Genomic DNA, 15,223 nt, shown 5'->3' with positions numbered 1-15,223 from the left:
GTTAATCTCTTAGTGTGCCTAATTTATATATTAAACTTTATCATACTTTTGTATGTATAGGAAAAAACATTGTACACATAGGGTTTGGTACCATCTATGGTTTCAGGCACATGCTAGGGTCTTGGAACATATTAACCATGGATAAATGGGGACTACTGTATACTATTTATAATATATAGCAATAGTATATTACAGTACAATTATATTTGCAGCTAACTATATGTTATATATAACAAGTATATAGTACTTAGTAACTTACTAAACACTTTCTCTTAAATTATCTCATTGTAATATAGATTCCTGCCTGCCACCCTGTGGGGCAGGCAAGATGATATTATACATCTCTTATAAAACAAAGATACAGACTCAGAATGGCTAATAGGATATTGCTGAGGCCTGCCAGGTAAGTCGGAACTTAAGTCTTCTGACTTCTGAATCACACACATCACCACATCAAATACCTGATATTGCAATCATACACACAAGAAACAATTAAAAACAAGCATGAAATTTAATAACAAAAAATTGACCAATGTAAAAAAATGACACTTTTTCACTATAAAGGTAATACATGCTTACTGTAAAATACTACAAATATAGAGAAAAATAACAAAATAAATCCATTTTCTTTTAGATATATGACCATTTCCAGTTGAGCATGCTTCATTTTACACTGTTGAAGAATTTTCAGTGGATACAAAATTTTAAATATTTTTTCCTCATCCCTAGGTGGCTTTCTCATTCCCAAAACTTACATTGGTTATCCCAAACCTTACATTCCATATACAGTCTCTCCTGCCCTCCTTCTCAGCATAAAGTTTAATTCTCAAACTTCATAGAGAAAATAAAATTCATCCGACAAGTCTGCTCTTGCCTTCCTTCCTTCATTCTTACAACTTGTCTATACTCCCCCAGCTATCTTCCTCTGACAAGAGAGTAAAGAAAATATGTCCCTATTCTTCTCAATGGCTAATGCCTTCCTCTGTCTACATTTCCTCCCTTTTCACTTCTGGAGCTATGATCCATGAATTATGTCCTCCAACTCTCATAGTATCAATCTTGTCCTCCTCCTCCACTCTCTTTCCTTCCCTCAACCTAAAAGTGTTAAATCATCCTTATCCTCAAAAAGTTTTCCTTGAACCCTGTCTTACACCTGTAACCAACAGATTACTTGAAAGAGTATTCTGCCCTCACTATGCCAATTTCTTTATCTCTCATTTATGCCTCAACTTAAGTTTTGAATTTGGGCTTCACTATCCATTAAAACTGTCCTGAGAGCCCATTAGTGAACTCTGGATTGCCAAATGCTGTAGCTTCATTCCACCTTAGCAAGTTTTGAAAGGGACACTGGTGACTACCCATCTTTTAAAATCCTTACCTCCCCTGTATGTGATTTTACAGTCCTTCCTCCCTTGGTTTTCTTCCTACTCCTTTTACTGCCACTTCTCAGAATCTCCTTGGTAATTCCATTCCTCATAAGCCCTCTCTCCTCTTTAATCTCTAAATTCTCTGCCTATTCAATTTCTTCCATTCAAATAACTTCAAATATTACCTCAATCCATACCAAGACTACCCAAATCCATTCAATAGCTCAGACTTAATGACTTCCATTCACTTACAGAATTACATCTAAACTGCCAGTTTCTTTACAAGTTAGCCTAATTTCCTTCCACTCCTCCACTGTATCACATCATTCTGCTTAAAACTTTCAATGGTTCTCCACTACCCTCAATTCAATTCAACGTACTTATTTTCAGAAAATACACCCTGAAGTATTTAGAAGTAGTTAAAAAATAGATAAAATAAATCCACTCCCCCAGTATGGCTGAGGATATCATTCATAATGTAGTACCTGCTTCCTCATCTCTTGTCAACTCCCTGTAAAACGAAGCACGTGAAAAGAACAACCAAAACCAACACACATAAAGAAGCATTTTGTATGTCAGCTCCACTAAAACTGCTGGAGAGTCCCTGAATAGGCTATACATCATCTTCAGCATCATTGCACAAGCTGTTTCCTTTGCAGGAAATAACCCCACTTCTCGTTCCCCACACTCACCTTCAAGACCACTTTATCTGAAAACTAATTTTGAAAACTTAAGAAAAATACACTTAGGGCTTATCCTCTGTAATCCTGTTTGCTGTGCCCTTTACATTTCCTATTTTAGCACTTGTCACATTGCTTAAGTATCTGTATGTGTTATTCATCTAGCTCTTTGAGGGGAGGATCTCTATAACGTTAACCAGTGTATCAACAGTGTCTAGCTTAGTGCCTAGAATATAGAAATATCTGTGGAATAACAATCTACTTAGAGTCCTCTCAATTCAAATTTGCTTTTATGCCTATAGGCTTCTATAAGGCTATTCTAGTTAATAAGTGTATCTTCTTCCTAACTCACAGTTCTCAAATATTATTTCCTCTATAAAATTTTCTCAGATAACTACCAACACTCTCACCACCTCCTATCCTAAGTGTCTATCCATGGTACTTTCATAATCCTTTGAGCTCAATTCTGTGTTAGCCTTTGCCTTCTTATGTCGTTATTCATCAGTAATTCACCATCTACTAGATTGCAAATTCCTTGAGGGCTGAGACTGGAGCTAATTCCCAGCCACATTCCTATTACTCAGCACAAAGCTGGCAATAGTACATTAACAACAAAAATGTGGGTCTCCAAATCCTCAGGATCTAGCAGCTTACTACAGAAATAGTAAAAAGTAAATACATACATCCATATATACTCCTGAGTGAATGAAAACCATCAACTAATCAATCTCAAGTGACCATGTGGTCATCTACCTAAATAAATTAAATATTTCTTTTTCTCAACAACCATAATGAGTTTTACAATAGAATCTAAGGCTCCAAAAACTAGCTTTAACAAATGTATGAGAATTGAAATTTTGGTTATGTAATATATCTCCAGGTTAGTAAATAGCCTATAAAGGTTTTCTGTGATCTTGCAGGATTTACAAATTGTAGTGTATTAATGTTTAATTGTGAATTTCTACTACTTTAATAAATACATTTTCAGTCCAGCACAAATATGAAACATATGCTTAAATAATTTCAAATATACATGGAACATTATTCTACACTTCTGGACATTTAAAAACATATAAACAAAACCAAAACACACTGTAGACCTCAATTTACCAGAAATTTGAATTCTAGAAGTTGTCTACATGTTTGTTTTTTGAAAACATTTGCTCAAAGAAACAAGGTTAGAAATGGTGGCTAGGTTCCCACAGGATCCTACAAAAGCCTATTTATTGTATGATGTGGTTGCAATACTAAATATTTATTGTGAAGAAAAAAAAATCCCAAACCAAAAAACTGTTGCAGGGAAATTAATTGAACAAAACAAGGTCAATAAAATTAAATATTGTTTTATTCATCTCAAATACAAATGTCTCTGGGAAAGAATACAGGTTTAATTAAAGGACTGACAGACTGTATGGAAACTACTACAGAGATTGTAAAATGGACTTGTGAGAACTTAGGAGTTTTCTGAGGTTAATAGCATGCTTACCTTTACATCTAATTTATCTCCAAACATCATGAGCTAAAACATATTAGTCTTGCCTGCTGGGTCACAAATATAATAATAAAAGGAAAAAAAGGCTATAAAAACAAATAAACAAAAGTTTCCTGAAGTATCTGGACATGAGTTTGAAGGAGAAAACAGAAAAATGCACTAGAGAATATACACTGTGCTGGGAAGATCACCTGGGTTTGAATCAGCTGAACTACAGCAGTAACAGAAGACTTTAAATATGAAAAGTCTGGGATAAACATAATCTGCTTTATGGTTAGAATGGTGATAATGGAGCAGAGATATTGGATCTACATCTTCTCTTCTCAATGAAGTGCTAGAATCAGTCCAGCACAGTTTAGTTGCTATTAAGAAGGCAGGTATAAAATATAGGAGAGTGGGACAAGTGAGTAAAGGGAATAAAAATATGCTTGTGTAAAGGGAATAAAAATAAAAAAAAAAAAAGCCTATGTTTTTTAAATACAGACCTCAGTCCACACTTTGATACACTGTTTCATAGAACCATTAACTTCAGGATGCCACAGAAAATCCTAAAAGAGAAATGTTAGAAGTAAAGAAAAAGTTGAAGAAACTCTTAATTCCACCATTCAAAATAAACATTAACATTCTCTTACAGAGTACTTAAAAGTAAAACACTACCTTGTCCAAGACATCTTCAATTCCTATCTTAATTTGGCAAGAGTCTTACAATAGTTCTCCTTGAATCCACTTTTGTCTTCCTCTAACCTACTGTCCACATTTTAGCCAGAGCAATCTTTTAAAAACTTAAATCTGATCTTGCTATGCCCCTGCTTAAGTATTCAGAGACTTTCTACTGCCCTCAGAATAAAATCTAAAATCCTGTAAGTTGTTAACAAGGTGCAGAATCTCCACCTGTCCCTTCTGCCTTTACTCCTGCCACTTGTACCCTTGCTCTCCCTTTTGGTCCTCAGTCGGCTCTTGGAATGCTCTATGTTCTCCTTTTTCTCTAGGACTTTGCACATACTATTCCTTCTGTCCATAATGCTCACAAAACTCTTCCACTGAGCCTGCCTAATTCTTACTTATTTTTGAAGCCTCAGTTAAAATATCACTTCTGCATGGAGGAAAATGACTTTCAATTCCTTGCTCTGCACATTCCCATTGCCCCTCTTTTTCTTTTCTGCCATCCTTGTCCCACTTGTATTTGCATGCAGAGAACTATAAAGACCTGCAATCTTCATTAGGTCAAGGCCATTTTTGTCTTGATCCTCACTGAATTCTCACTGATTGGGAATTCAGAAAATTCACATATATTCTTTTATGGACATTAACCCGGAACACATACTGGTTTCAAATTCATGTGCAAGATTATTCTTTCCAAATAAAATTTTGAGACCATTACATAAAATAACTCACACAAACTTTTATTCCACTATCCTAATATTCTTATCTACTCTCAAGAATACATTGAAATATACTTAGTATGTTCAATTAACCAATGAATATAGTTTCAACATTGTAACATCTAGCTTACTATTACATGAACTTACCACTTTAACTGATGCAGTCTTGTCTTCAAAAGGAATGTTTTCATGCTGCCATAAAAGGAGACAGAGAAATATTAATGTATAGATTAAATTTATATAAAAAATGCCCCATTTAGCTGCTTTGATTTATTTTTATGCATATTTTTGTTGATATATTTTTATGCACCAAATCTCAATTATCTATACATTCAACCCGAAAGGGAAAAAACCGACATAGAACACAACAAAGTGACACTAGTTAAATTGTCTACATGTGATTTTCAACATCTAAGATATAGTTCAAAAATAAAATTTCAACAGCAAACAAGGAGATACATAAACATGTCTGTATAAATTACCTTTTTGCCAAGATTGCCAGGATTCCAATTTAGTTCCAGTATTACTATTTTTTGTTTGATTTGATTTTGTTTGTTATTCTGAGACAGAGTCTCACTCTGTTGCCTGGGCTGTAGTACAAGGAGCAATCTCGGTTCATTGCAACCTCCGCCTCCCGGGCTCAAGCAATCCTCCCACCTCAGCCTCCCAAGTGGCTAGGACCACAGGTGCACGCCACCATGCCTGGCTAATTTTTTAAAAAAATTTTTTGTAGCGACGGGGTTTTGTCACGTTGCCCAGCTGGTCTCGAACTCCTGGGCTCAAGTGATCCACTCACCTCAGCCTCCCAAAGTGCTGGGATTACAAGGCATGTGCCACCGTGCCCAGCACTTGTATTACTATTCATCTCAGAAATGGACTGCTTCCCTTCATTTTCTGAGGCCCTTTCAGTTAGGCAGAGCCACATGGCTAGTTCTGGCTAATGCGACGTGGATATATGTGACATACGCCACTTCCAGGCTGAATTTCCCAAGGCAATTCTCTAGTCTCTAACTTAACTGATGCACAGACTAAGGAAGCTCAATGTTCCAAGGTACTCTAGAAGGTAGTAAAAATTCCAATAGTAGGAACTGCTGAATGACTGTGTGGAGCAAAGCCTGTTGCCAGCCCACCTAGGACATGCAACGCTAAGCAAGAACTTCTGTTTTGTTAAGACGTTAGAGTAGTTTGTTGCTGTAGCAACATCTAGTCCATTCTCACCAGTGTACTAGTATAGGCCCTGAGTGACAGGAATGGATGAACATGACTCTAGGTTGCTATAGGTTTCACTTTGAAAACAGTATATAAATAGCCCATTTGCAGAAAAAATTGAAATGTGAACACTACAACTTCTTGTAACCAAATGTTCTACATAAAGAATGGCATTCCTTTCAGAAATAGAAATCGTAGGTGGGAAAGGGGTAAAGGTGGTCAGTAAGAAGCTAATTCTGTTGCTAAAATCAAAGCTGAAATGTTTTCATTAATTCAAACAGACAAATAGTATTTATACTGTAATCTCCATGAAACAAAATTTGTTCTATCAACAGGTTAACTTTTTAGATTCTTGTTGGTGCTTCTAAAACATCACTTTCCAAAAGGAGTCTCGAGACTATTAGTTCAGTGAAACTTTAAGTTTCTTTGGTGAAATAAATCTGGGATATACTGGGTCAAACAAAATCACACAGGTGTTTTCCTCCTTCTACCACATCCTCAACCTTTTAAAAATTTGTCCTCAGAAAAATAATGTCATGAACTTTCTTTGTCTTACTTTGCATACAGTAATTAATGCAACTCGATCTCTTTCTTCTTTTTCCTTTTTTAATATAATGTTTGATATATACAAATAAGTCACATATATGAAAATCACAAAGCACAGTAGAACTAAATCAACACTCATGAATCCATGATACAAATCAGAGCACTGCCAACACACTGAACCACCTATGTGGTCCTTTCCCTATCTTAAGTCCCTGCTTCACCCAAAGTAAACCACTCTCCTAAATTGTGTGTTTATACTTTGTTTTAAAAACTTTCTTTAGTTTTTGTCACATAAATATGCATCTTTAAATGATATATTGTTTAATGTTGTTGGCTTTCTCTCCAACTTTCAATTTTAAAAATTTTCAATCTTATAGCAAAGCTGACAGAATTAAACGAACGCCCAAAACCTTTTACCAACCATTAACATTTCCTGTACCAGCTTTACCTTTCTCCCTCTCTACACATACATATTCTATAGTTTTTCTCTTTTGCTGAACTATGTGAAAGTTCATTAAAGAAGTCATAACATTTCACTCTTAAATACTTAAGCATATATCTCTTTAAGCACATACCCACACGAACGTTCTCTTACATAAGGAATTTTGACATTGATAAAATATTATCTCATTTAATACACAGTCCATATCCAATTTTTTCCAATTTCTCAAGAATATCCTTTATATAGCTCTTATATTTTAATCTACAATCCAATTAAAATCAAGTGTTACATTTAGTTGTCACATCTCTTAATCTCGTATAACCTAGAACATTCCCTAGCCTTTAAAAACTTGCACAGCTCAGTCAGTTTATCAATACTATTTTTATTAATATCAAGTATCATACTTACTATTTTTGTAGAGTACAGGTCAACTGATAAAATACGTTACTATCTAGATTATAAACAGCACTAATGGTTATCTTCTTGGATATGTCTCTTAACAAAAGAGTAAGAATTTCCCTAATTGTTCCATAGATCCATAGGCCATACAAATGTTCACCATCAAATGATAACGCAAATTATTTTCTGGAGTATTTGTAACAATTTACACTCTCACTAGCAGTTATAAGACATCTACTGGTACACAGCCTAATACATCTGGTCTGTTTTCATATTTCTTGCCATTGTCAGATTTAATTTCTGCCATTATAGTAGGTATAAAAAAAACTCACTTCCACTTCAGTAAAATGCCTGGCCATGCTCCCTGACCCCCACCTTTTGTCTACTGGGTTATCTTTTTCATTAGTTTGCAGTTTCTGATATTTCTTGAATATATGTTGTAAATTATCTTTTCTCAATTTGTGGCTTATCTTTTTTCTTTAAGGTATCTTTTGGTGAATAGATACTCTTTATCTTAAGGTATCTTTTGGTGAATAGATACTCTTTATCTTAAGGTATGTGAATTTATCTTTTATTTTATGGTTAGCACTTTTTGTTCCTTATGTAAGAGATGTTTCCCTACCTTGAGATAATGAAGATATTCTCCTACATTTTATTTCTATTTCTAAAGGTTTCAAATTTTTTACTTTCACATTTAAGTTTAAACTCATCCATCTAGAAACGATTTTACTAGATGGTGTGAGGTAGGAATCCAATTTCAACTTTTTCCATGTGCTAATTGCTTTAGCACAATTAACTGAACAGACCTTCCTTTCCCTAGAGATCATCAATGGCATTTCTGTTACTTTTAAAGTCATTTTATATGCATGTTTCTATTTTAGAGCTCTACAGTCTATTCTAATGGTTTCTTTGTTTATACCAATACCACACTGTTTTAATTACTACAAGGTAAAATTAAATCTTGATATTGTATAACAAATCCTTTCCACCTTGTTCTTCAGATTTGTTGTGGTTATTCTTGGTCTGCTGCCCATCTATAAAAAATTTAGAATCCATCGGTAAAGTTGCACAACAAATTCTGTTAGGATTTTGTTGGAATTACACTGAACCTACAGATCGGTTTGGGAATAACTGACATCTTTACAATACTGAGTCTTCCCATCCAAGGAAACAGTATATTATATTCCATCTAATTATGTCATTTGGAATTGTCTTCCAATAAATTTTTATGGCTTTTCTGCATACAGATCTTCCACATTTGCTGTTTATTCCTATGTAACATATAGCTGTTGCCGTTACCATTGCACACGGTATATTTTAAAAGCCTTTAGAACTTTACATTGTTGGCATGTAGATATTTGTTAATTTTTAACAGCTTTGTTGAGGTATCACAATTTTTGTATGTACATCTTATTATCAGCTACCTTGTTAAAATCTTTATTACTTCTAGTAAATTTTCTATAAATTTTTTGGGATTTTCTATGTAGAGAATTGTATCATATGAACTCCTCAGTTTATTTCTTCCCAATTCTTACATCTTTAGATTACCTTTTATGGCTAGAATCTCTAATACAATGTTGAACAGAAGCAGCAGTAATGAACACCTTTGTCTTTTTCCTGATTTTAATGGAAGTATGTCTGACATTTCACCATTAAGAACATTTTCTGTAGGCTTCTACAATTTTTATCAGGTTAAGTTTGATATAAAGTAACTTACCTTAAAGCAAGAATGACACCAATTCTCTGATATTGTTGGAACTTGCTTAATGGTGTAATACACGTTAAAAATAAAAAGTTGGCCGGGTGCAGTGGCTCACACCTGTAATCCCAGCACTTTGGGAGGCCGAGGTGGGTGGATCACGAGGTCAGGAGATCGAGACCATCCTGGCTAACACGGTGAAACCCTGTCTCTACTAAAAATACAAAAACAAAATTAGCTGGGCGTGGTGGCAGGCGCCTGTAGTCCCAGCTACTGGGGAGGCTGAGGCGGGAGAATGGCGTGAACCCGGGAGGTAGAGCTTGCAGTGAGCTGAGATCACACCACTGCACTCCAGCCTGGGCAACAGAGCGAGAACTCCGTCTCAAAAAAAAAAAATAAATAAAAATAATTAAAAAGTTCCACGCGTGCTTCAAACAAACATTTCCCTGATTGTAAAGTGTATTTTCTAAATTATTGAGCTATAAGCTTACAGAATCAAGCATGTTAATGCTCTACTATATGTTTACTAGTTTTATTTGCTTGTCCTATCATTAACTGAGAGCAGTATGCAATTCTCCCACTGTAAGTGAGAATTTGCCAATTTCTCCTTGTAGTTATATTTTTGCTTTATAAATTTTAAGGCTAATTTATTAGATGCCTACAAGTTTAAAATCTTAGTTATCTGAACTCTTCGTCATTAGAAAGTGACTTTCTGTATCCCTGAAAATGCTTTTGCCTTAAAATCTATTTATCTTATACTAATATGACTTAACTTTCTTTAGTATTTACCTGGTGAATCCTTTTTCATTTTTAATTAAAACCTTTCCATGTCCTTCTTATTTTAAATATGTCTTTTTAAGCAGCAGAAAGTTCTCTTCAAGAGCAATCTGAAAATCTGTGTTTAGCTCACAAGTTTAGGCTACTTGCATTTATTTTGACCATAAATGTTTTTACCATCTTACTCTTTTCTTTTTTGAAATGGAGTCTCACTCTGTCGCCCAGGCTGGAGTGCAGTGGCGCAATTTCGGCTCACTGCAAGCTCCGCCTCCCGTGTTCACGCCATTCTCCTGCCTCAGCCTCCCGATAGCTGGGACTACAGGTGCCCACCATCATGCCCAGCTAATTTTTTGTGTTTTTAGTAGAGACAGGGTTTCACCGTGTTAGCCAGGATGGTCTCGATCTCCTGACCTTGTGATCCACCCGCTTCGGCCTCCCAAAGTGCTGGGATTACAGGCATGAGCCACCGTGCCTGGCTTTACCATCTCACTTTTTAATTTCTATCCCTGCCACATATATGTAGCTTTTTCATATATGGATAATATATGCAAAAACAGCTTTTTACATAGACATATAATTGTGTGTGCGTATGTATATCATATGTATATGTATGGTACATGCATGTGTATAAAATACATATTTGGCATTAGATGAGTTTGGTTTTTGCTTAATTTTTTTATTCTTCTGATTGAAATTTATACATTCTAATTCAATTCTTTCGGTCCTTATTCTTGAAGTTTCACTGTGCATCTTTAACTTAAGTTTTAAAAAAACACAATATTTTAGAGAATATAGAGTACATTAGAACACTTTAATTGTGATCATTTACCCTTGACATATCTGCTATTATTAGCCAGTTCTTTAGTTCTGTCTTTTCACTAAGTGCAAAAGATATTATTATTTTATACAAACATTGTTTAGATTTATATACATTTTTACTATTTTCTTAAACCATTGCTTCTTACATTTCAGATAATTTTTTTCTGAACATTTCCCTCATTCCTGATGGTTATCCTTCAGAAATTACTTTAGTGTTAAGTCTATTTTGTAGTAAAACCTCATCATTTTTAAATATCTGAGAATGTCCTATAATACATCTCAAGAACACAGAAATTTTAACCCCAGGTATACAATTCTAGGTTGAAACTTACTTTCAGAACTTTAATGCTACTATTCTTTTTTTTTCTTTTTGAGACAGAGTCTCACTCTGTCGCCAGGCTGGAGTGCAGTGGCATGATCTCAGCTCACTGCAACCTCCACCTCCTGGGTTCAAGTGATTCTCCTGACTCAGCCTCCCGAGTAGCTAGGATTACAAGCACATGCCACCACAATCAGCTAATTTTTTGCATTTTAGTAGAGATGGGGTTTCACCGTGTTGGCCAGGATGGTCTCGATCTCCTGACCTCAGGTGATCCGCCCACCTCGGCCTCCCAAAGTGCTCGGATTACAGGCACGAGCCACCACACCCGGCCTTATTTTTGTATTTTTAGTAGTGATGGGGTTTCACCATGTTGGCCAGGATGGTCTCCGTCTCTTGACCTCGTGATCTGCCTGCCTCAGCCTCCCAAAGTGTTGGGATTACAGGCGTGAGTCACCACACCCAGTCCATCAACAGTATTTTTTAAACCTAGGCTCCAGTTGGTTTGACATAGAAGGAGCCCCCAGAGTATCTAACCTGCCCTATGGCTGGAAGCAACACAAAATTGATTTCTTTACTGTAAGACTTCTCAAGTTTTTAATATCCCAGCCTAAATTAAAACTATCTAAGAGGGAGATACGATATCTAGCTCTGCCCAAATTTATTTGACCAAAGCTTCTCACAGAACTAGTCTCCCACAAAGCATAATTTGAAAAAATTCACCTCTAAAGTCTCTTTTTAAAAAAATTTGACTCAATACACAAAAGAAATCAAATTCAAACAAAGAATTATCTTCAATATTCCTATTCTACCCAGACATACCCATACCAGGCTTTAAATAAAAGTAGTAAGCTTTTATAATATGCCAGATTATGCTAGGGACAAGAAATATATTTAAAAATAATAATGATGATATGTAATTTCTGTCCTCAAGGTGTGCAGAGACAAGGTAACACATAATTTGGCAAATGCTCCACTAGCAGCTTGAATTAAATATTTTCTTGAAAATTGTCTCTTTAAGACGGGGGCACACTATCTTTGTTTCCTTTTAAATGCATATAAATTAATCTTGTCTGATATCTCGTTTGATAATCTTGGGATAACTGAGCATCCTAGACTATAAAAACTGGAAACCTAAGTGTTGCAACTAGGGCTCAGAAACAATGTACCATATTGTATCTACTTTTGGCTGCAGACTAAACCATTATAGCTTTTTTCAACTACCTATTGTCAAATCCATTATTCGAATTTTTAGAAAGTCATGCAACTTTAAGCCAAGAAATATTAAAACCTTCATAGTAATCAGAAATCTCTCTACTTTTTAAAAGTTTACTAAAGGCTGGGCACAGTGGCTCATGCCTGTAATTCCAGCACTTTGGGAGGCCAAGATGGAAGAATTGCTTGAGCTCAGAAGTTTAAGACCAGCTTGGGCGAAATAGTGAGACCTCGTCTCTATTAAAAAAATTTTTTTAATTATTAAAAATAAAAGTTTATTAAAATTTTTCACTTTAAATTGTAATAATTTCATGTTAAATAGTTCTGAGTCTTCTCTACAATTTCATATGTATAAATGCAAATGGAAAATACAGATAGCAAATAAAATGAAAAGTTGACTGTATCATTTGTTTCCATTATTCTCATTCTCACATGGAATAGTTGCTAAAGATTTAGGACCTGGTATCATCATCACTATGTTAATAACTACTTAGCTGTGAAGGCTCTTAAGTTTTCAACTCTTTAACATAGGCAGATTTTCATAAATTCATGAGCTACTCCCCTCACAATTCTAAACTTTCTTGTGTTCGACTTTCCCCCCTTTGCTATTCCCCTCTCCCAATCACATGGTATTTGAAGACAATGATTACAATCTGGGATCACTTAAAAAGGTATAAACAGAAGATATGATGAGATAATTCACCAAAAAATAATGAACTAATTAATTAATATATACAAAGAAATTAATCCTTGTTAGTTTTCAAAGTTATATTTTTAAACGAGAAATTTCCTAACAAAATCAATAACAGAAACTTATTGCACTGCTGTTTTAATTTACAGCATGATCACCCAATGCCAGAAAGTTTGCAGAAAATTAGGCCCCAAAATATATTGCTAATTAGTATAAATTGAAATAATTTTGCAGCATAATTAATAATTTTTAAATGTTTATGTTCTTTAACCTAATATTTGAATTTTAGAGATTCCACCCTAAGGAAATAATTTAAAAAGCAAAGTTTTCACACAAAGAAGTAATTTAAAATGTATTTTTTAACTGCAAAATTAAATTAGAAAACTATAAAAAGCTTTAAAAAGTGGAAAATTATATAAAATTACATTATATCCACTCAATAATATGTTGCCATTAAGAAGATACTTAAGTTGATTATATAATGGTGAATAAGTGGTGAAGAAAAAAGCAAGATATAAAATTGCACATATTAAAAGATTACTAGTATGTTTTTTTAAAAAAAGAGATGAGCAAAAAGAAGTATGGAAAAATACTAACAGGAGAATAAGGGGTGATATTTTCTCTTTGTCTTCTTTCTAAGGAAATTTAAAAGTTTTTCCATGGTAAGAATTTATTATTTCTGAAAACTAAAAGTTTAAGTTATTACAATAAAAAGCTTGCCAATGTCTTAGCCACCACTTCTTTTTGTCATCTTCCTCATTAAAGCAATTCATCCCTCTTTTTCCCCAACCTTTCTGAAAATCAAAGTAAAATTTTTTCAGCTCCTACTCAATCTGGAGAGACACACTCCTCCTGTAACTATTCAGTTGGTTAACTTCTAAAACACTCTACAGAAGGGAATAGACAAGTTTTACCTTATTTCCTTCTTCTTTGAATTGGGGATTAATTATTTTTACAAAAGAATAAAACAATTGACGAATTCTGGAATCTCCAATAAATGCAATATGTTTATCTACAAGGCAGTTCTTTGCTTCACTGAAAGCAACAAAGAAAAATTAATTAAAATAAGTAAAATCAGCCATCCTGGCATTTCAAAGCACACCGTTTTTGAAGAAAGTTGATCCAGATTGTTACACATACCATTATATTGCTTTATAAGCAGGTGGCCAGGTTTGTTTAACTTACCACTCCACGTTCCTGTAATCAGTTAACTCTCTGTAATAGCTCGATACATTACATGTTTAAGATGTACTCTAACTGTATTAGGTGCTTTATATCTATTATCTCTTAATCCTTAGAATAACTCCATAAGATAGGTATCCAGGTGCCAGAGCAAGAGTCTTTTGCTCAAGGATTATTGCCTTAGGCCTAGTTATCACACACCTGAGATAAAGCAGATTGGCCAAAGCCCTTCCCTAAAACCTTAGTGGGCAGGGAAATCTTCATTTGCAATCAGCCCTACACTCAGTCAGCAAGTCTCTACCCCAACATAGAGATGAAAAGTACTGTTTCACCAACCCCTCTCCACTACATATTAAGACCCATCCTGAAAAAGAAAACAACAAAATGAAGAAATGTTACCTGATTTTGTATTTATGCATCATACAACTGTGAGGTTGCCAAACTTTCTCTCCAAGAAATCTGCCACTTGAGAGAAGGTATTCACACGAATCATTGCCTAAAACAGTTAAACACAACAGTGTTGTAAACAATAGTTAAAATTTTACACATCGGCTATCTTGACCCTATATAAGTTCCTTGAAATAAAAAAGTAGAGTTTTCTCTGTTTCACTGTACCGCCCAGGTTCACAGTTCCCACTCATGAGAAACATGGTAAATATTAATACATTAATATTCAAGAGGACAAGAGAAACTGATGGCTTATACTTCACCTAACTCCTAATGATACATTCCCTGCTCTGGCAGTTCCTTCTGCTTCAGGTTTTCTTTCCGGGGACATTATCTCAACCTTAAATTAGCCTTTACATCTGAATATCTCCCCTACTTATAGCTGAGAATGAAAAGTTTCAGGGAGGCCAGGCACGGTGGCTCACACCTGTAATCCCAGCACTTTGGGAGGCCTAGGTGGGCAGATCACTCGAGGTCGAGTGTTTGAGACCAGCCTGGCCAACATGGTGAAACACCATCTCTACTAAAAATACAAAAATTGGCTGGATGTGGTGGCA

General features: G+C 34.9%; 1 protein-coding gene and 1 long non-coding RNA gene across 11 annotated transcripts in view; one reads left to right on the top strand and one right to left on the bottom strand.

The window, feature by feature from the left end:
* Positions 1-8,631, top strand: part of LOC105375404 (uncharacterized) — a 34,852-nt gene extending 26,221 nt beyond the window's left edge. The window contains exons 2-4 of one of the 2 annotated variants that reach the window (XR_007060433.1): positions 297-403; positions 8,002-8,071; positions 8,519-8,631. This is a non-coding gene — a long non-coding RNA (uncharacterized LOC105375404). Of the gene's footprint in view, positions 1-244; positions 404-8,001; positions 8,072-8,518 lie in introns of those variants that run through there. The other variant, XR_007060432.1, reaches the window with a different exon arrangement.
* CASD1 (CAS1 domain sialic acid O acetyltransferase 1) overlaps positions 1-15,223 on the bottom strand; it is a 124,364-nt gene that overhangs the window by 101,898 nt on the left and 7,243 nt on the right. For 7 of the 9 annotated variants that reach the window (XR_007060138.1, XR_007060140.1, XR_007060139.1 and 4 more), the window contains exons 2-5: positions 14,619-14,715; positions 13,952-14,072; positions 5,069-5,113; positions 4,025-4,087 (exon numbers count right to left, since the gene is read on the bottom strand). Coding sequence is in view for 4 of the 9 variants with exons in the window: in XM_011516495.3 (XP_011514797.1) it covers positions 4,025-4,087; positions 5,069-5,113; positions 13,952-14,072; positions 14,619-14,715 (326 nt within the window). In the remaining 5 variants the exon portion in view is untranslated. Of the gene's footprint in view, positions 1-4,024; positions 4,088-5,068; positions 5,114-9,234; positions 9,431-13,951; positions 14,073-14,618; positions 14,716-15,223 lie in introns of all 9 variants that reach the window. The other 2 variants (NM_001363427.1, NM_001363426.1) reach the window with 2 other exon arrangements.

This window comes from Homo sapiens, chromosome 7 (assembly GCF_000001405.40).
Source record: "Homo sapiens chromosome 7, GRCh38.p14 Primary Assembly".
Taxonomy (NCBI): Eukaryota; Metazoa; Chordata; class Mammalia; order Primates; family Hominidae; genus Homo; species Homo sapiens.
This window is presented reverse-complemented; position numbering and strand designations above follow the sequence as displayed.